The sequence below is a fragment of the Homo sapiens genome, chromosome 1, assembly GCF_000001405.40.
Source record: "Homo sapiens chromosome 1, GRCh38.p14 Primary Assembly".
NCBI classification, from domain to species: domain Eukaryota; kingdom Metazoa; phylum Chordata; class Mammalia; order Primates; family Hominidae; genus Homo; species Homo sapiens.
The window spans coordinates 219,819,460-219,841,535 of NC_000001.11; the positions used below are offsets into that span (position 1 = coordinate 219,819,460).

At 40.7% G+C, this 22,076-nt stretch overlaps 1 long non-coding RNA gene across 4 annotated transcripts in view, besides 4 other annotated features; it reads right to left on the minus strand.

Annotated features, from left to right (window-relative positions):
* Positions 1–22,076, minus strand: part of LOC105372926 (uncharacterized) — a 198,874-nt gene that overhangs the window by 134,035 nt on the left and 42,763 nt on the right. For 2 of the 4 annotated variants that reach the window (XR_001738473.2, XR_922612.2), the window contains exon 1: positions 3,061–4,294. This is a non-coding gene — a long non-coding RNA (uncharacterized LOC105372926). Of the gene's footprint in view, positions 1–3,060; positions 4,295–22,076 lie in introns of those variants that run through there. The other 2 variants (XR_001738475.1, XR_001738474.1) reach the window with 2 other exon arrangements.
* Positions 6,776–7,340: an enhancer, noted in NCBI's record as "NANOG hESC enhancer chr1:219999577-220000141 (GRCh37/hg19 assembly coordinates)". NCBI's record gives its function as "activates a minimal SCP1, AML or CMV promoter by ChIP-STARR-seq in naive H9 embryonic stem cells {active_cell/tissue: H9 hESC(naive)}" and the evidence as "EXISTENCE:reporter gene assay evidence [ECO:0000049][PMID:30033119]".
* Positions 13,535–14,480: an enhancer, noted in NCBI's record as "NANOG-H3K27ac hESC enhancer chr1:220006336-220007281 (GRCh37/hg19 assembly coordinates)". NCBI's record gives its function as "activates a minimal SCP1, AML or CMV promoter by ChIP-STARR-seq in primed H9 embryonic stem cells {active_cell/tissue: H9 hESC(primed)}" and the evidence as "EXISTENCE:reporter gene assay evidence [ECO:0000049][PMID:30033119]".
* Positions 15,954–16,154: a silencer, noted in NCBI's record as "peak704 fragment used in MPRA reporter construct". NCBI's record gives its function as "represses an SCP1 promoter by STARR-seq MPRAs in K562 erythroleukemia cells {active_cell/tissue: K562}" and the evidence as "EXISTENCE:reporter gene assay evidence [ECO:0000049][PMID:32103011]".
* Positions 19,576–20,319: an enhancer, noted in NCBI's record as "NANOG-H3K27ac-H3K4me1 hESC enhancer chr1:220012377-220013120 (GRCh37/hg19 assembly coordinates)". NCBI's record gives its function as "activates a minimal SCP1, AML or CMV promoter by ChIP-STARR-seq in primed H9 embryonic stem cells {active_cell/tissue: H9 hESC(primed)}" and the evidence as "EXISTENCE:reporter gene assay evidence [ECO:0000049][PMID:30033119]".

Sequence of the window (22,076 nt, forward strand, 5' to 3'; positions counted from 1 at the left end):
TTTGAAGAGCCATGTCCTTTTTCCAGTGGTTAGCCACCTGGCCATTTTCAAGCTGTGCTTCTACAAACTCCAACTCAACCACACACACAGCATGGACATGGAGATTCTGCAATCCAAAATATTATCAGCATATTTTGCAAATGGTACAATTCCTTAGAAACAGCATGAAATTTTCTGATATTCCTCTCCATGTCCTACATTTCATGTCCCAGTTTGCTTCTGGCAATCTGACTTCATGAGGCCATCAGAGTGCAAATCATCCACATGGAGCCATCATGCCACTTTAACATTTCTTCCTCATCATTCTTAATATTGGCATTAGAAACATACACAGAAAACCTGGGCACGGTGGCTCACGCCTTTAATCCCAGCACTTTGGGAGGCCGAGGTGGGCAGATCATGAGGTCAGGAGATTGAGACCATCCTGGCTCACATAGTGAAACCCCGTCTGTACTAAAAATACAAAAAATTTGCCAGGTGTGGTGGTGGGCGCCTGTAGTCCCAGCTACTCGGGAGGCTGAGGCAGGAGAATGGCGTGAACCCAGGAGGCGGAGCTTGCAGTGAGCCGAGATCGCACCACTGCACTCCAGCCTGGGTGACAGAGCGAGACTCCGTCTCAAAAAAAAAAAAGAAAGAAAGAAAGAAAGAAAAGAAACATACACACAGCAAAAAAGATATTATAAGGGAATGTGATTTATACTTCCTGATATCATCATCCTATCTTTCCTATGTTTTTTGTGGAGAGAAGCGGAGGACATATTACAAAGAAACGTCTGAGAATAGTTTACAATTTTCCAAAGTATCTGAAAATGATATAGTTTTTCTATAGAAGTGAAACCAGTTCTTTTCCCTGCACTATGTGGCAGATGGAACGAGTGGTTGGCTTTTTTAGTGGTTTTGCAGATCTGATCCAAGCAGATAAAAATGATTTTAAGTATCTGATTCCCCTTGCACTCCAACATTTGACTTCTGCCACTTGGTTAGAATTCAAGAAAAATTAAAATCTTACTGTGCAACCAGGGCTCGGATTACGGTAAGCAGCCAGACCACCTCACCCTGACAGTAATACCCTGGGAAAACCTGCACAAGAATAAAAGCAGACCTGCTCAAGGCTCAGCAATTGGCACTTGAGTTCTATGCGTGTAAAAGGGGTAGAGGTTTTGTGGCGTTTAAATTATATTGTGTTAAATAAGGCTCTGATTTCCCCAGTCCTTCTCATGGGGATTTCAGGGGATGAGCAAACCCCTTTTATGTAAACTCAAGAAGTCTTTATTCACAGCCAGAGACAAACTTAGCCCCACTCCAGAGCCAAAGAGCCTCACTGACTACAAGGTTGGCCAGCCTCAATGCCAGAATTCACCATCTCCCTCATCCCTCAAGAGTTTTAGAACTGTAATCAATGAGCTCACCATTAAAAAAAAAAAATCCTAAAATCATTAAAAGTCCTCACAGGCTTTCTTCCTGAGCAAAGTGAAACCAGTTCTTGTGCAGAATGCCCCCAAAATGCCACATTCAGAGGGTAGGATTCTTTCTGGACCTCAGAGCTTTCCATCAAACTCTCTAAGCGGCCTGGTGACAACCTAGAGTCACCTTCAAGCAAATGGTTCAATCATTTTGACTGACATGAATGAGACTATTTGATCAAGTGTAAATCAAATCAGTCAAATGGGATGTCCAAATTGATCAATAAGTTCAACCAAATCAGAAAAAGCCAGTTGGGAGCAAAAACACATCCTTGGTAAAATCCAGAAGGATAACAAATTTTCCAGGTATGGGACAAGATAAAAGTTTTTGATACCAAATACTAGTGGAACATTTCTGGTAGCCAGACAGTCCATGACCATGGACCATGAGAACAGCCATTGCTTCTGGTGCTGCTGCCAGGGAATTCCTCTGACCAGGCATCTTAGGAAGCTGCCATCCCCGAAGTAGTGGCTATGCTGTGACCTCACTCTCAAGCTGCCTAGACCACTTCATTTGTTAAACATACCCTAGAACTATCCTTATTTCTGAAAAAGCAGCATAACTGTAGCCAGTGTTGACCTTGCAGAAGAGGCCAACAAATCAGGCTATAGACATGCTAATCCAGCAATCCAACCAATTAAAGAGCTTCTGCCTCCAAAGGGACATGGAGACACGCTTAGAGGCCTTTGCAGGGACCATGCAACTCTCTTTGTAGCAACACATTTCAAAAAAGAAAAAAAAAAAACTAAGTGTAGATACATGTAGGGTCATCACACTAACTCTCTGCCTTCCTTCCTGCCTTCCTTCCACCACATGGAGATGAAAACAAGAAACGTAGCCTGTCTTAAAGCTAGGACTAAAGCTCCAGCTTTAACCATCACCTATCATCTTAACACAACCCAATTCTTCTAGCAACAAAGTATGACAGCTGCAACTGCCAACAGACAATTTTACCCTTCCATGACCTTGGCAACATTGAAAGAGCACTGCTTTCCCACTGATTTGATAGTCACTATTGGAATAATGACTCTAGATAATCACTACAAATAAACTTTCTGTCTATAATAGTAGCCATTCCATTTCTGGTTTTAATGTTATTCACCTTCTTCCAAATAAACATCTTTTCCCAATGCCTGGAAAGTTCCAACCTTGTTCCAAATTTATATATTACTTTTCCATTATCTCAGGGCAGCAATAATAATAATAATAACAGTTATGACATCTTCCTTCTCCTAGAAGAATCCTGGCCACTTCTTGCACTTTTCTGGTTTGGAATTCTCTGATGGGCTTATTTTTTTCTTCCTCCTCCTCCTCCTTAGTGGAAAATGTTACTTCTAACTGCTGGCTTTAATTTAATTTAATTTAATTACAGCATTTTCCACACATGCCCACAGGCTCTTGGTAATAGTTGCATTTTTAATAAATCTAATATATAATAATGACTTTGTTTTTAATTTTCCACTGAGAGTTGGATCCTGAGTTGAACACAGAGCTCCAGACAGGGGCGTCTGGTTCACTCCATGTGATTGGATTTCAGGGAACCAAGGGGCTCCTAATTGGAAAATAGCTGTGCTTTCACCCCCTATCCCCACACACCTGTGTTTAATGTCCTCAGCAAGCATCCCATAGGACATGAAATGACCGCTTGTTTCAGTCAAAATGATCAAACCAGTTGAGCAGGCATTCCTCAGGCTGGACTGTGAAAGGAAAATGGAGGTAAGCGAGCAATGCCTGGCCAAGACCATTATACAAAGAGACTCTATGGACAGCACTCTGGTGGTGGCCTTTACGGAGTGACCCACTGCTCTCTGCCTTTATCCACAAGTCACTGGGCCAACTTAGAACTGTAATCAAACATAGTTCAACCAAAGGATGAATTTTATGACTACTGATTTCTCCTTTGCAAAGACCGTGGTTGATATTCATCGGTAGGCTATTTTATGACTGTCCATGTTCAGTTCATTCAACTATATGGTAAGTTAACAATGTTTGGGTTTCTTTTCCCTTGTCTTTCTCCCCAGTGCCATGTGCTCAGTAAAGAGCTCAGCGCCAATAGATTCCCAATAACATATAGGGCTACGTTTATTGGGTATTACCCTGTTTCAGACACCATTCTGAGCACGTTACCTGCACTGCTTCATACAAGTTTCTTGTGCTGTTGTCTTCATTCTGTGGATTAGAGAATGGAGACTTACAGAGGTTAAATATCTGGCTCAAGTTCACCCTCCTAGTAAGTGGCAGAACCATCCAACTGCAGAGTCTAAGTTCTTAACCACTAGTCTGAGGTCACCAACTAAAGCCTTGTACGGCAAAATCTGCACCAAAGCACTCAGAAAGTGCTTTACTTTCTTAATACATTGGGCATCCTCTTGGAGTCAAGTGTAACGTGTGATGGAGTGGGCCTAAGCTATCTTAGTAACTGAAATCTGCCCATAAGAAAACTTCTCTGTGGATTTCAAGCAGCTACAAGAAATTTGGGCAAGCAAGATAAGTCAGTCTTCAAAATGGAGTGAGAGATCCTGCTGTAGTCTATCTCACTTGACCATCGTAGGAGATGGATGCTTCAGAAGGATGGTGTAAGAGATGGCTCCACTATGGTGCCCTGGTGGCCTTGCACGTGTCTGGATGGGACATGCAGGCAAAGGCTTGGACTGCAGCTCATGTATGTCTTCAATGAATGTCTCACAGTCCTCCCTAAACATGAGCTCAGGAGAGGCTCGTGATGAGCTGCTGTGAGACCCACCCACCTCCCTCTCTCTTCTGGGGGCTGTCACAAGGTTGTTTCTCATTGCCTCAGAGGTTCTGATGAGGTATGAAGAATTTGGGGCTGCCTCCCTAAAAGCAGAGATGCAGGATATAAATCCATTGTACTGTAGCTTAGAATTGGCTCCTTAGCAAAGGGGAATCCCTTAAGTTGTGTTGCCATTGTCCAGTCCCTTTTGTTTCTGTGTCGTTCCTTTCTGGTGTGTAGGATAAGGACCTCAGGGAGCTGAGTATCTTCAGCTACTTTTCCTTTTGCTGTCTATGTAAGTAACTAATGGCCTGAATGTAAAAGTGACTTGTTCTACTTTATAAGTCAAGTCACTCAAGCCTTGGCCTTATATAGCATCTTGTGTGTGTTTGAAGAATTGTCCCATCAAGTCGGTCACCTATACAGACAATGCAATGAAAACTAGCCAAAAGGAATATATCAATAAGAGCTCCCTCATTTCAAGTGACACTGTAAAGTGATACAAAAAAAAATTATATATATGTATAAATAGCACGCACATGCACACATACACACACACACACGTGCATACACACACACAAGCGTCTATGAAAAGCATCCCAGGGAAAATAGAAAAGTCACTAACTGAGGGATTTGCCTCTGCATGTCTTTTGTTAAGCAAGCTGATGGTAATTTGGGGAAAGAAATGCAAATGCATTCAATTTAACAAAATTAATATTTATTTTCTATAAACAAACCCAGTAGAATTCTCAGTGGGCACATATTTCGACATCAGAATTTAACATTAAGTATTAATTCTGCATTTCAGAATCTGTGTAAATCCAAATGCTAAGATGTGTATGAGGACAGATCCCATTTACTCATCAGGTCTCATATGGGCCATAACAATAAAAAGAACGCAGGGAACTCCCTGTTACATGGCAGGACTTGAGAATGGACTGTTCTGGTTAGTAAATACACAGATTGCCAATTTTTAAATAGTTATGTTCAAAGAACATGTAAAAAAGGATTAACACTAAAAGTTCCATGACCTTATTTTAAACTAGTTTTGATCATTCAAGACTCACAAGACAAAGTAAATGAGTAATTATTAAATAATCTAATTACCATATTATTAGTTCATTTTCATGCTGCTGATAAAGACATACCTGAAACTGGGGACAAAAAGGGGTTTAATTGGGCTTACAGCTCCACATGGCTGAGGAGGTCTCAGAATCATGGTGGGAGGAGAAAGGCACTTCTTACATGGCAGTGGAAAGAGAAAATGAGGAAGAAGCAAAAGCAGAAACCCCTGATAAACCCATCAGATCTCATGAGTCTTACTATCACGAGAATAGCATAGGAAAGACCAATCCCCTGATTCAATTACCTCTCCTTTGGTCCCTCCCACAACATGTGGGAATTCTGGGAAATACAATTCAAGTTGAGATTTGGCTGGGGACACAGCCAAACCATATCACCATGGAATATTAAAAAAAAAAAAAAAAAAAAAAAGAAGTAAAGGAGACAATCTTTGTCCTGAAGTACAAAGCAATTTGTTGGAGAGGTAAGATTTTCACTGATCACAATAGAAAACAAAAATGTTATCATCAAGGGCCTCAGAATTACCTTTGGAAAAACCAACTCTCATATACCAGGTTGGCAGGAGCAGTTAAAGATTATCTGATGAAAGAATGCTAAATAATAACATTTTTACTCTTTAATTCTTTTGAGTGTCTTTCCATTTCACCAAATTGATCAGCTGTTATAAATCTCAGCTATAATTAGCTTCATGGACATCATACACAAAGGAAAAGTGAAATCACTCCCTTCTACAAAATATAAATGTCTTTGACCCACCCTAATCTCACTGGTATATTCACACACACACACACACAAAGTTACTACAAAGTCATAAACCTTTCCAGTTGGACTCCTTAACTCTGTTTTATTACGAATGATGTCATGCGCTACTCCTTAGTTTACTTTTTAAAAATTTGCTTTTTTACATTTCTTTCCCCATAGAAGCATCTAACCATAAAGATAGCCTGCTCATTAGAGGCCCATCCAGTAGGTTTCAAATACATGAGGGAGAAGGCCAGAGAGGTGGGGAGAGGCCAGCTGATTCAGATGAAAACAACAATAGCTCCCATTTATGAAGCACTTCAACATGCAGGCACCCTGCTGAACCCTTAACAGATATCTCATTTAATTCTCACAACAAATCCGAGGTGTAGATTTTATTATCTTCATTTAGTGATTAGGAAGCTAGAGTTTGAATGGTTCAGTAATTGATCTAAGATGAAAATGCTTCGCTTCACACCTAGGTCTATCTAAGTCCCTTTCCCTGCTTTCATCCATTCCACAGAAATTGAAAAAAAGTGCACAGATTCAAAACTTCAAATCCTATTAGCCAACAGGCAATTGGTTTACAGTACGCAAATGTCTTAGCAGGAATTCTCATGAAAATAACTTTCCCTTCTCCACTTTGAATTAGTCCTTTGGAGCTTTTAAACTTAAAATCATAAGTTTCCTTTTACTAAGGGTCAGCCCTGGAAAAATATCTTTCCACCCCACAAAACGAGCTCCCTTTTGGGATTCCCAAGCTGAAGTTGATTTCCTAAATTTACCAAATGTTTATTCTCATTACTGTTTTATGTCCTCTGATTGAGGAAGTTCTCCCTTTCCAAAGACGTAATATTCCCAACAAGATCCCACTGCTTCTCTGTGAGAAACATGGCAGGAGAATTATTGCTATACCTTTAAATGTGTTATTTTTGCCAGCTAAAAAGAGAAACTTCAACAATGTCATCCCCTCCCTCATCAGGCTTTCTTTCTTTCCAAATGCATAACAGGAACCCACAGAGGGTAACCTGCTGATTCCCTTGAAGCAAGAGGCTCACAGAACAAAGGTTTAAATTTCTGTTATTTATCCCTTCTTTCATTGATGATAAAGTACATCCCCACAGTTATCTCTATCTTCTCACCCACCAAAGTAAAAAAACATAGGCTTGAGGCAGGGAGTTGGGGGTTGGAGTCACTATAAAAGAATACTAAATCACCAAAGTAGTGCATCTGCAGAGAGCAGAATGCTTCTAGAATATTGCCATCGTTACAACAACTATTATTATCTCAATAGATGTGTATAGAAAACACCATGCTTGGCACATGTATACATATGTAACTAACCTGCACATTGTGCACATGTACCCTAAAACTTAAAGTATAATAATAATAAAATTAAATTAAAAATTAAAAAAAAAGAAAAGAAAACACCATGCTTAGAAAATTAAAGAAAAACTCATTGAATTAGAATGACTTCCCCATGGCCATATAGCTAGAAAATAGCAAAATATGGATATGGTGTCTTACCAGCTTGAAGCTGCCTGACTCCACACCCAGTGTTCTCCCCAGTGTGTCCACCATAGTAAAGAGGTAGTGAGCATTTCCCCTGGTAAGTTCTGATTGGACCCATGGTTGCATTATAGCAAAATATGGCTCTTAATAATCAGTGCCATTTAAATTAATACCCCAGATTTACAACCACCATCTCAGCCATTATATGTTATGATACTACTCTATCACTAAGTCCTTTCTAAACTGAAATGTAACCCTTTCGTCATTTCTCTATTCAAATAATTTCACCGTAATGTCCCATTATTATATGATCAAGTTCATATTCTTTGGTGAGTATTTAAGGCTCTTCTTTTTTTAATTTTTATTTATTATTATTATTATTTTTAGAGAGAGGGTCTCACTCTGTCACCCAGGCTGGAATGCAGTGGCTCAATCATAGCTCACTGCATCATTGAACTCCCAGGCTCAAGTAATCCCCCCATCTCAGCCTCCCCAGTAGCTGGGACTGCAGGTGCATACCACCATGCCTGGCTAATTTTTTTTTTTGGAGAGACAGTGTCTCAATATGTTGTCCAGGCTGGTCTCAAACACCTGGCCTCACAGGATTCTCCTGCCTCGGCCTCCCAAAGTGCTGGGATTATGGGCGTAAGCCACCACTCCTGGCTTCGAAGCCTTTCATTTTTATTTGTTTACTTTCTTTTAGGTTTGGGTGTACATGTACAGGTTTGATATGCAGGTAAACTCGTGTCATGGGAGTTTGTTGTACAGATTACTTCATCACCCAGGTACTAAGCCTAGTACCCAATAGTTACTTTTTCTGCTGCTCCCCCCACCTCCTACCCTTCTCCCACCCTCCACCCTCAAGTGGGCCCCAGTATCTGCTGTTCTCTTCTTTGTGTTCATGACTTCTCATCATTTAGCTCCCGCTTATAAGTAAGAACATGCAGTATTTGGTTTCCTGTGTCTGTTAGTTTGCTAAGGATAATGGCCTCCAGCTCCAACCATGTTCACATGAAAGACATGATCTTGTTGTTTTTCATAACTGCAGAGTGTTCTATGGTGTATACGTACCACATTTTCATTATCCAATCTGTCATCGATGGGCATTTAGGTTGATTCCATGTCTTTGCTATGGTAAACAGTGCCGCAATAAATATTCACATGCGTGTATCTTTATGGTAGAATGATTTATATTCCTCTGAGTATATAGCCAGTAATGGGATTGCTGGGTCTAATAGTAGTTTTGTTTTTAACTCTTTGAGGAATCACCATACTGCTTTCCACAATGGTTGAGTCAATTTACACTCCCACTAACAGTGTGTAAGTGTTCCCTTTTCTCTACAACCTCACCAGCATCTGTTATTTTTTGACTTTTTAATAATAGATATTCTGACTGGTGTGCGATGTTATCTCATTGTGGTTTTGCCACTTGAATTTCTCTAATGATCAGTGATATTGTTTTTCATATGTTTGTTGACCACATGTAGGTCTTCTTTAGAAAAGTGTCTTTTCATGTCTTTTGCCCACTTTTTAATGGGGTTATTTGTTTTTTCTTGTAAATTTCTTTAAGTTCCTTATAGATGCTGGATATTAGACCTTTGTCAGACGCGTAGTTGCAAATATTTTATCCCATTCTGTAGGCTGTTTATTCTGCTAATTGATAGTTTCTTTTGCTGTGCAGAAGCTCTTTAGTTTAATTAGATCCCATTTGTCAATTTTCGCTTTTGTTGTGATTGCTTTTGGCATCTTTGTCATGAAACCTTTGCCCATTCCTGTGTCCAGGATTGTATTGCCTAGATTGTCTTCCAGGGTTTTTATAGTTTGAGGTCTTACACTGAAGTCTTTAATCCACCTTGCATTGATTTTTGCATGTGGTATGTATGAGGAAGGGGTCCAGTTTCAATCTTCCACATATGGCTAGTCAGTTATCCCAGTACTATTTATTGAGTAGGAGTCCTCTCCTTATTGTTTATTTTTGTCAGCCTTGTTGAAGATCAGATGGTCCTAGATGTGCAGCCTTATTTCTGGGCTCTCTATTCTGTTCCATTGGTCTATGTGTCTGTTTTTGTACCAGTACCATGCTGTTTTGGTTACTGTAGCCCTGTAGTATGTAGTCTGAAGTCAGGTGACGTGATGCCTCCAGCTTTGTTCTTTTTGCTTAGAATTGCCTTGGCTATTCAAAAGCCCTTCATTTTTAAACAGGGGCTTAGGGGCACTGAATTCCTGTGGGTTCTCCTGGTTGACTAAGCTGGAATAGACTGGTGAGCCAGAGGGACCTTCAACCTAGACATGAGGCAACTCTAAGCTGAATGACAGGTTTATTCTCTCTATTTTTGGTATATTTAAATTTTATAAAATGAAACATATTTTAAAAAATTATCCCCTAACAGTACAGTATTTATCCAGCTCCAGGTTTTCATGTTCCACCTTCATATTATTATTTTGTAATATCTTATACAATATTTTTCTTTCTATTGACTTTAAACCGATCCACTATTTTACCAAGATTTGTACTAATGATAATACTAATGATAATACTCAAGATTTGTACTAATGATAATACTAATGTTATCACAGGTTTGATGAACTAGTGTTGTCATTTTCTAATATACATTAAGATCAGTGTGTAACTATCAAAAGAAAAATATTTCTGCCAGTACAATTTGTAGCAATTATTCAGATCAACAACTATATACAGACCCTATTTTGGGAAACACCAACAGGAAAAAAGTTAACAATCACAAGTCTTTCAATTAGACTGAAACAAAAGGAACACTGAGGAGGGGAGCAAATACTGCCTTTATAAAGTGTTATGGGACCAAGCTGAGAAAGACCTCGAATGCCAAGTCCTTTGGTGGTAACATCTCAACTACTGAAGAAATGAAATTATCAGCCAGGGAAATGGGATTATCAGAGCTACACTTGAGAGAAAGCAATGAGTTACAATGTGTAATAACTGAAATCCTGATCTTCCCCCACCCCCAAAATATGCTCCTCTCAGGATCTTCCCCTTTCAGTTAAGTGACAGCCCCTTCCCGCCTCCATTCTCCCAGTTGCTCAGGCTGAAATCCTTGTCTCTTTTTCCCAGTCATCCACAGCCCATCCATCAGCAAACCCTTTTGGTTTTACTTTCCAAATAGAACCAGCCTTTTCTCACCATTTCTACAAGTACCACCAACTACAAAAAAGCATCATCTTTTTAATTTTTTTTTTTATTTTTTAGGAGCAGGGTCTCACTCTGTCACCACGGCTGGAGTGCAGTGGTGCAATCATAGTTCACTGCAACCTCAAACTTCCAGGCTCAAGCAATCTTCCTGAGTAGCTAGGACTACGGGGCGTGCCACCATGCCCAGCTAATATTTTTATTTTTTGTGTGTAGAGACTAGGTCTCACAATATTGCCTGGGCTGGTCTTGAACTCCTGGCCTCAATGGATCTTTCTGCCCCAGCCTCCCAAAGCGCTGGGATTACAGGCATAAGCCACCACACCAGGCCTCATTTGTCTCTTGCTCGTAGTATTAAATAGCCTCCTAATGGCTTCCTGCTTCCTTCTTATCTCCTCTGCAGTCCTTTCTCCACAAAGCAGCAAGAAGTATCTCTTTTTTAAATAAAATACTTGTGTGTGTATTTTATAAAAACACGTGGCCTTACATAATCTCAGCACAATTATCAAAATCAAGAAAATTAGCACTGATAGGATACTATTATCTAATCCCCAGTTGATAGTCATATGTAATTGATTGTCCCAATAATGTCCTTTAATAGCTCCCACCTACCCCAGTGCAAGATCCAGTTCTATATCACATCGTGTATTTATCTGTTATGGCTCTTTGTTCCCGTTTAATCTGAAATGATTCCTTAGCCAATTTTTTTGTTTCTTAGCCTGAATATTTATTTAAAAAAATATAAACCAGTTATTTTGGAGAAGGCTTCCCAGTCTGAATTTTTCTGATATTTCTCCATGATTAGGATTCAGGTAATGCCTTCTGGAGGGCAGAAAAACCATGAAAGAGATGTGGTGCCCTCAGTGCTTCCTTTCCAGAAGCACACAACGCTAGTTTGTCTATTTTTCGTCATATTAATGGTGATTCTTTATGAACATCTGACAATGTTCTTCAACCATAAGTACGTTCCTGCTTTCTCCCCCGTACTTCCTTTGCAGGTAAATACCTTAAGGTTATGCAAGTAACTGTTCAATCATCAAACTTTCAATCACTAGTTTTGGCATCCATTGATAATTTTCTAAATTCACTGTCCCTTCTACATTTATGAATTGGCAATACAATGTAAGGAGAAACATTTTTGTCCCTCCAATTTATTTATTTATTCACCCATTCATTCATTTACCTTAGTACAAACTCATAAACCTTAACTGAATTTATTGGTTTATAATCCCAATTTTATGCTAAAATTGGTCCAGATTTGGTAAATAAAACCTCTTTAAGCTAGTTGCTATGTCCTGTTTATTATTATTATTATTATTGTTATTATTATTATACTTTAAGCTCTGGGATACATGTGCAGAACGTGCAGGTTTGTTACATAGCTGCACACATGCCATGGTGGTTTGCTGCACCCATCAACCCGTCATCTACATTAGGTATTTCTCCTAATGCTATCCCTCCCCTACCCCCAACCCCAGATAGGCCTAAAACCATAAAAACCCTAGAAGAAAACCTGGGCAATACCATTCAGGACATAGGCATGGGCAAAGACTTCATGACTAAAACACCAAAAGCAATGGCAACAAAAGCAAAAATTGACAAATGGGATCTAATTAAACTAAAGAGCTTCTGCACAGCAAAAGTAACTATCATCAGAGTGAACAGACAACCTACAGAATGGGAGAGAAAATTTTTGCGATCTATCCATTTGACAATGGGCTAATATTCAGAATCTACAAGGAACTTAATTGAATTTACAAGAAAAAAACAAACAACCCCATAAAAAAGTGGGTGAAGGATATGAACAGACATTTCTCAAAAGAAGACATTTATGCGGCCAACAAACATATGAAAAAAAGCTCATCATCACTGGTCATTAGAGAAATGCAATTCAAAACCACAGTGAGATACCATCACATGCCAGTTAGAATGGCGATCATTAAAAGGTCAGGAAACAACAGATGCTGGAGAGGATGTGGAGAAATAGGAATGCTTTTACACTGTTGGTGGGAGTGTAAATTAGTTCAACCATTGTGGAAGACAGTGTGGCGATTCCTCAAGGATCTAAACCAGAAATACCTTTTGACCCAGCAATCAGATTACTGGGTATATACCCAAAGGATTATAAATCATTCTACTATAAAGACACATGCACACGTATGTTTACTGCAGCACTGTTCACAATAACAAAGACTTGGAACCAACCCAAATGCCTATCCATGATAGACTGGATAAAGAAAATGTGGCACGTATACAACATGGAATACTATGCAGCCATAAAAAAAGACGGGTTCATGTCCTTTGCAGGGACATGGATGAAGCTGGAAACTATGTTCTTTTTTTCAAAAAAAATGAACTTTTTATTTTGGAATAATTTTATATTTATAGAAAAGTTACAAAGATGGTAGAGAGCTCACATATACCCCTTACCCAACTTCTCCCACTATAACCATTTTACATTACCATGGCACTGTTCTCAAAACTAAGTAACCAGCAGTGGTACATTACTATTAACTACACTCCAGACTTTATTAAGGTTTACCACTTTTTCCACTAAGGCCCTTTCTCTGCTCCAGGATCCAAGGCAGTATGCCATGTTGCATTTTGTCCTCGTGTCATCTTAGTCTACTCTACTCTCACAGTTGTTCAGTCTTGCCTTGTATTTCATGACCTCAAAAGTTCTGAGAAGTACTGGTCAGGTAATTTTTAGAATATACCTCAATACAGGTTCATCATATGTTTTCATCATGATTCAACATGGATTATGGGATCTGGAAAAGAATACCACAGAGATGAGGTCCTCTCGTCATCATAGCAAAACAGGAAGTAGTGTGGTAGCAACATGACTTATTACTGGTGATGTTAAACTTGATCATTTTGGTTAAAGTAGTGTTTGCCAGTTTTCTCCACTGTAAAGTTACTATTTTCCCCTTTCTATATCTACTCACTGGAAATCAGTCACTATGTCCAGTTCACACTTTTGGAGAGTGAGGAGAGGGTAGATTATACACACATACTATCTGAAATTCTTCTGTAATGAAAATTTATTGCTCATCCTTCATTAATTTGATTATTCAATTATTTATGTATAGCAACATAGGCTTATGTACATTTATTTTATACTTGTGTTATAATTCAATGCTACATTTAAAAAAAAATTACTGTTTAAATTCTTCCAGTTTTGGCCCCCAGGAGCTCTTTCAGGTTAGTATGTCTGTCCCATGCATGCCTACATGCTTTTACTTTCTGAGCACTTCCTTATTTCCTGACACTACAAGACTCTCCAGGCTCATCTTGTATTTTTCGCACTCTTGCCCTAGAATCAGCCATGTCTCCAAAAAGCCCTGGCCCCTTTCACTGAAAAACAATCTTTAGAAAAAGCAAGATCTGAGTGTTCAGCGTGCTCATTGCTCCTGGGGTGGCACTGGCTCTAGACCAAGAAACTTCCTTTTAAACCATAAGCGAGAGAGGCATGGTGGTGAGAGATGAGGCTTGAACACCCACTGGGTTTTTGTTGTGCTGATCTCAGTAAGGACCAAAGCAGTAATTTACATTCTAGATCCTCTGGGAAAACAGAATAAATCCCACAGATGAGTTAGTTGGGAGAAAAACATGAACATAGGTGATGCAGTGCATGCCAGAATTGAGAGAACTAGATGAAAAAGGAGTGTGCAAGGACAGGCCTGGTGTATGCCTGTGCCCAGTGAAATTATAAATCGCATGCTCTTTGCACCCAAAAGTGTCCCCATTTGGACTACAAATTACCTGGTCAACTTAGAAACTGCCTTGAAGATGAGATTTGTGATAGCTGAGCCACTGATTAAGAATATTACAATGTTTTGCTGTGTCAAACAATGTAATCATTCCTTTGCACATTTTATAGAAATTTTTATAAAGATTTAAACCATATTTCAGTGTTTCTTGGATGTCAAATGTGCCTCCGTTAAATGTGCTTCTTTTCTCTTTGGCACCTAGCTGTCCTCCCCAGGCTAAGCCCTCCCTCCAAAGAGGAAAAGAGCTCCATCTGAAAAATCCATTTGCTACAAGAGATAGAAAGAAGTTATTTAGGCAGATAGTATGGGTAAGAGAGTCCTCAGCAGAATTTCCCTTTTAATGAAAAACAGCCTCAAACTCGTTTCTTTTCTAACAACTGCCTGAAAAATCGAGCTGCAGACATAGATACAAGCAAGCTAGAAGCTTGCACAGGTGAATGCTGGCAGCTGTGCCAATAGGAAAGGGCTACCTGAGAGCCAGGCATGTTCCACATGGAGGCTCTATCTTCCCTTTTCTTTGTCACCACGTGTACAGTAAGGAAACAGGCAACATGGCATCAGCCAGATAGAGAACCCATCTGCATAATAAAAGATTAGGGTGGGGTGGCCAGCTTTTTCATGCCCTATGCAAATGGCACATCTAGCCCTAACCAGTTTTTCGCACCCTATGCAAATGACACACCTGGTCCAACCAATCTTTTGTGCCCTATGTAAATCCAATACCACCTCCTCAAGCTCATCTATAAAACCTGATGTATTTCACAATGGACCAGAAAACCTGCTCGGGACCCCTCTCTCTGCAGGAGAGAGCTCTTCTCTTTCTTTCACCTATTAAACCTCTGCTCTTAACCTCACTGCTCGTGTGTCCGTATCTTTGATTTCTTTGGCGTGGGACACTGAACCTCGGGTATTACCCCAGATGAATGATGCTGCTTTGCATTGTTTCTATAGTCAATTGACCTCATCAATTGTGCTCAGTTTATAATCTCTGAACTTTTTCTACCTGAGGCCCTTTTGGTGTCCTAGGAGAAGATATGACAAATAGGAGGAAAGAAATTTAGAAATTTACCTTCTTTTTTTTTTTCTTCTTGAGACGGAGTCTTGCTCTGTCGCCAGGCTGGAGTGCAGTGGCGCAATCTCTTCTCACTGCAACCTCTGCCTCCCAGGTTCAAGCGATTCCCCTGCCTCAGCCTCCCAAGTAGCTGGGACTGCAGGCACATGCCACAATGCTCAGATAATTTTTTTGTATTTTTGTAGAGATGGGGTTTCACCTGTTGGCCGGGATGGTCTTGATCTCCTGGCCTCGTGATCTGCCCGCCTTGGCATCCCAAAGTGCTGGGATTACAGGCGTGAGCCACAGCGCCCAACCAACAAATTTACCTTCTAACCATCTTTTCTCGCTTACCCCATCCTCTTTCAGCTTGACCTGTATCTTGGGTAACATCTTAACCTTATGTCCACAGCTTCCTCCACTGTGTGTCCTCGCTTCACTTCAACACACCATCTTGAAGGACACAGGACACAGGTAGCATGGGAAGTAAGCTTCATGCAAGGATCTAGAGTTCAGATTTTGACATTTGAAACCACTACTGTTTATGCAGCAAGAAAAAGAAAAAGTTTTCTTCTTAGATTAAAAAAAAAAAAGGCAGAGCAAACTATACAGTGTAATTTGAAAACTCCAGCTGTCCACCCAACAAGAAAAAGGAGTCCAGTAATTCCTGGCAATGACAGAAATTTGGTGAATGTACATAGTGCTAAATTTGGAATCTAGCTGAACACTCATTTTTAAATTGGTTTTATGAAACAATGATTGCTCTAGAAAGTGTGGTCCTAGAAAATTTAATCAACTGCAAAAGAACCAATAGAGTTTGTGAAGGCTTGACAATTAAATCGTTTTAAATATTTAACTAAAAGGGTCTCCTGGTTTCTTTCAAAGTTGTACCAGCAAGGGTTACCTAAGTGCAAGCAAGCCCAGGTGACATTTTTATATTTCCAGGAAACTCTTGTGCCAGGATTCAGCCCTTAGAGAATGATCAAATCTTCATTAAAACTCCCAAAAGTAGGAATTGAGACCAGGAAATAAGACATTCTCACTCCACCAGTGTGTTTAGTGCCAGAGCTCAAACTGTGAGAGCTGCTCAGGAAAAGGTCTTAGACCTGGCAAAGGATGTGTTGTAAAAACCCACAGCCCCCATAGCGACCTGCCCCATTTCCTGCAGAAAGAGGCAAGGACCTGCCCAGAGCCAGAGGTCAGAAGGTAGCTGTGGAGTAGCCCTGCTCAAGTGGCCTCCTTAACCTGGTGTCCTGAGAATGTGGCTCAGAGCCAAGCCTGGGAAAATCTGGAGAGTCCATCTGAGGTTCAAGGTACAGTCCCTTCCTCTCACCACCTCCTTCTTTTGGGGGGCTGTGGTCGGGAGGGTGGTTTCAGGAAGCAGGGTCTTGCTCTGATACCCTGGCTGAGTGCAGGGGCACAATCACAGCCCACTGGGGCCTCAACTTCTTGGACTCAGGTGATCCTTCCACTTCAGAATCCCGAGTAGCTGGGACTACAGACATGCGCCACCCTGCCTGGCTAATTTTTTTATTTTTTGTAGAGATGTGGTCTCGCTATGTTGCCCAAACTGGTCTCCAACTCCTGGGTTCAAGTAGTCCTCCCACTTCAGCCTCCCGAAGTGCTGGGATTACAGGCATGAGCCATCTTACCCAGCCTCTTTCTTCAATCTCAGGACCAGGCTCTACCCTGGAGTGACTGTACCAATGGCAGGTATCAGAATCAATTTATTTTCATGCTTCACCTTTTCATGCTTCACCTGCCTATGTTCACAATTCAGAGCAATAATTCCAATGAGAGTTTCATCATCACCTCTCTATTTTTCACTGATGGTGTTGTCATTATTGGGGTTAGGGCAAAGTGGGGCATAATAGCAAAGACATGAATTCAACTTAAGTGTCCATCGACAGAGGATTGGATAAAGAAAATGTAGCATATATACACAAAAGAATATACACTGCCATAAAAGAGAACGAAATCACATCTTTTGCTGCAACATGGATGGACCTAGAGGTCATTACCGTAAGTAAAAACATCTCAGAAACAAAGCCAAATACCGCATGTTCTCACTTAAAAGTGGGTGCTAAATAACATGTACACATGGACGTAGAGTGTGCAATAATAGTCACTGGAGACTCAAAAGGGTGGAGAGGTGGGAGGGGTGAGGAATGAGAAATTAATTACTTGATGGGCATGACGTAGGTTATTTGGGTGATGGTTACACTAAAAGCTGAGACTTTACCATTGTGTAATATATCCATGTTAAAAAAAAAAACTGCACCTATACCCTTTAAATTTATACAAATTTTATAAGAAAGTGAAGAAGTAGAATTGTCAATGAGTGCCAATTGTTAATCAGGAGACTCTTGTTCTGATACTACTACAACTTACCATTGGATTTGAGAGATGTTGCTTAGATTCTTCAGGAGTCAGTTTTCCCATCTATAGAATGAGAGTCCGGAGCAGGTAAGTATAGTGTAATGGAAAGTCCACAACACTGAGTCACAATTCCTGGTGTGAAACCTAAAGCACCTAATTTAGCCTTCCTTTGCCTAACTCTCCTTTCATTTAAAATGGAGATAATAAGATCTGTGTTGTCTATTTTTCAGGGCTACTTTGAGGGTCAAATCATGTGAGAGTTCTTTAAAAACTTTTCAGCGATACATAAACATACAGCGTTACTCTAACTGTTGCTGCTTTACCATTGTCTTCTAAGTTCCCTTTACATTCTAAAATCATGATTTCAAAGTCTTTCAACATGAAATACTGTACCTGGCATTCCCTTAACTCTTTCATGGTCTTTCATGTATTCAGCCTTGGAATGTGATCTTAGAACAAATGAACCAAAGACAACACCAACATCCACCTCTGCTTTCTCGCTCTTTCAAGTTCTAACAGTCGAGAATGTGAATGCTCAGTTACTTAGAATAAAGATCGTCCAGTAGATGGTGCTGCTGTCTCTGAAAATGGACTGAGAAACCAAAGCGACTTCATCTTCCCTACTAAAAAGTTTGGAGAATACAGTTGAGGCCAGTCTATGGAGAGCCTTGAGTGGTAATCAAAGAGTGTTTGAGTTATTGTCTATTCAGTGTGAGGTCAGTCCACAGTGTGAGCCGAAAAAAAACAATGATGAAAGACATTAATTGGAAAAGTTAATTTGATAGAAAACTAAAGGATAGGATGTAGAAGACAGTGACCTGTTCAAGCGTGAAAAGACAGAAAGGCCTTGAGTTTCCAGAGTCTATAGACAAGTAATAAAATGCATAACAATAATAACAATAATTTAAGTAATATTAATTTTTAATAAGTTAATATCAACATAATTATTATTATGAAGCACTGTTCTAATCACTTTACATAATGTTAACTATTTAACCTTCACAATAAAGCTATGAAGGAGGAATTGTTATTATGCCCATATTATAGAGGAGTAAACTGAGGTTGAGTAACTTGCCCAGAGTCACTCAGCTCATACATGGACTTGAGCTGAGATTCATATCTAAGCAGTAGGCTCCAGAGTGTGTGCTCTGGTGACCTACACTAAAATGGCTTCATCTTTTACAGCCCCCATGGTAAACAGCAATAACATCGAACAAATCATCGAACAATAACATCCACTAAATGGATGATTAGAAAAGAGTAAGATGACAGTCCGGCCTTTCCCACCCTGAATTTAAGGTGAGGACAGGGTGTACCTCACTTAAACCAATGAAGTCATTTGGTCCATTCACTATCTTAATCAACATGGGATTCCCTTTTACAACTTTTCAGAATGGTTATTATAAGGTCGAAAATGAAAGGCAAGGTCATTTTCTCCTAAGACTTCATCTTTTCCTTACAACCAAATTGGCCTTTGTTTGTCAGGCTTAAAATCAAGGTGAAAGGTTCCTTCACTGCTTCCTCTGTGTATAAGAGATAGTGTTGGCTCCATATCTGTTCACCCATCCACCCATTTTTTAACATAGCCACATCTTGACTTCTTACAGGAACAAGGACAAGTTGGAGGTAGAGAGGGGAAAAATCTAGTGCATAGCATTTATTTTTGATGTAACAGTGTATTTTGTCATTTTTTCATTTGTATTTTCAAGTGCATCTCATTGCAAAGTGTTCAGGTCACTTTGCTCTTTGAAGGCTCTCTAATTGACATTAAATCCATAATGTATTGACGTAGAGTGAATTATAGGAACCTAACAGTAAGAGAAAGGAAAGAGGAGCCACTTATGAGTTGAACTGTCACGGAGCTGCTGTTCCTTCGGCACTACTGAATGCAAATTCTTGGTATGTTCCTAAGGATGCTAGACTTCCCAGTCTACAGAATTTGAGATCTTTCTGTTGAAAAATAAGAAATGTTGGGGGGGTGGCGCCAAGATGGCTGAATAGGAACAGCTCCCGTCTACAGCTCCCAGCTTGAGCGACACAGAAGACGGGTGATTTCTGCATTTCCATCTGAGGTACCGGGTTCATCTCACTAGGGAGTGCCAGACAGTGGGCGCAGGACAGTGGGTGCAGCACACCGTGCGCGAGACGAAGCAGGGCGAGGCATTGCCTCGCTCGGGTAGCGCAAGGGGTCAGGGAGTTCCCTTTCCTAGTCAAAGAAAGGGGTGACAGACGGCACCTGGAAAATCGGGTCACTCCCACCCTAATACCGCGCTTTTCCGACAGGCTTAAAAAATGGAGCACCACGAGATTATATCCCGCACCTGGCTTGGAGGGTTCTATGCCCACGGAATCTCGCTGATTGCTAGCACAGCAGTCTGAGATCAAACTGCAAGCCGGCAGCGAGGCTGAGGGAGGGGCGCCCGCCATTGCCCAGGATTGATTAGGTAAACAAAGCAGCGGGAAGCTCGAACTGGGTGGAGCCCACCACAGCTCAAGGAGGCCTGCCTGCATCTCTAGGCTACACCTCTGGGGGCAGGGCACAGACAAACAAAAAGACAGCAGTAACCTCTGCAGCCTTAAATGTCCCTGTCTGACAGCTTTGAAGAGAGCAGTGGTTCTCCCAGCACGCAGCTGGAGATCTGAGAACGGGCAGACTGCCTCCTCAAGTGGGTCCCTGACCCCTGACCCTTGAGCAGCCTAACTGGGAGGCACCCCGCAGTAGGGGCAGACTGACACCTCACACGGCCGGGTACTCCTCTGAGACAAAACTGCCAGAGGAATGATCAGACAGCAGCATTCACAGTTCACGAAAACCCGCTGTTCTGCAGCCACCGCTGCTGGTACCCAGGCACACACGGTCTGGAGTGGACCTCTAGCAAACTCCAACAGACCTGCAGCTGAGGGTCCTGTCTGTTAGAAGGAAAACTAACAAACAGAAAGGACATCTACACCAAAAACCCATCTGTACGTCACCATCATCAAAGAACAAAAGTAGATAAAATCACAAAGATGGGGAAAAAACAGAGCAGAAAAACTGGAAACTCTAAAAGGCAGAGCGCCTCTCCTCCTCCAAAGGAATGCAGCTCCTCACCAGCAACGGAACAAAGCTAGATGGAGAATGACTTTGATGAGCTGAGAGAAGAAGGCTTCAGATGATCAAACCACTCCGAGCTACGGGAGGAAATTCAAACCAAAGGCAAAGAAGTTGAAAACTTTGAAAAAAATTTAGACGAATGTATAACTAGAATAACCAATACAGAGAAGTGCTTAAAGGAGCTGATGGAGCTGAAAGCCAAGGCTCGAGAGCTACATGAAGAATGCAGAAGCCTCAGGAGCCAATGCGATCAACTGGAAGAAAGGGTATCAGTGATGGAAGATGAAATGAATGAAATGAAGCGAGAAGGGAAGTTTAGAGAAAAAAGAATAAAAAGAAACGAGCAAAGCCTCCAAGGAATATGGGACTATGTGAAAAGACCAAACCTACATCTGATTGGTGTACCTGAAAGTGACGGGGAGAATGGAATCAAGTTGGAAAACACCCTTCAGGATATTATCCAGGAGAACTTCCCCAATCTAGGAAGGCATGCCAACATTCAAATTCAGGAAATACAGAGAATGCCACAAAGATATTCCTCAAGAAGAGCAACTCCAAGACACATAATTGTCAGATTCACCAAAGTTGAAATGAAGGAAAAAATGTTAAGGGCAGCCAGAGAGAAAGGTCGGGTTACCCACAAAGGGAAGCCCATCAGACTAACAGTGGATCTCTCGGCAGAAACTCTACAACCCAGAAGAGAGTGGGGGCCAATATTCAACATTCTTAAAGAAAAGAATTTTCAACTCAGAATTTCATATCCAGCCAAACTAAGCTTCATAAGTGAAGGGGAAATAAAATACTTTACAGATAAGCAGATGCTGAGAGATTTTGTCACCACCAGGCCTGCCCTAAAAGAGCTCCTGAAGGAAGCACTAAACATGGAAAGGAACAACCGGTACCAGCCACTGCAAAATCATGCCAAATTGTAAAGACCATCAAGGCTAGGAAGAAACTGCATCAACTAACGAGCAAAATAACCAACTAACATCATAATGACAGGATCAAATTCACACATAACAATATTAACTTTAAATTGTAAGTGGACTAAATGCTCCAATTAAAAGACACAGACTGGCAAATTG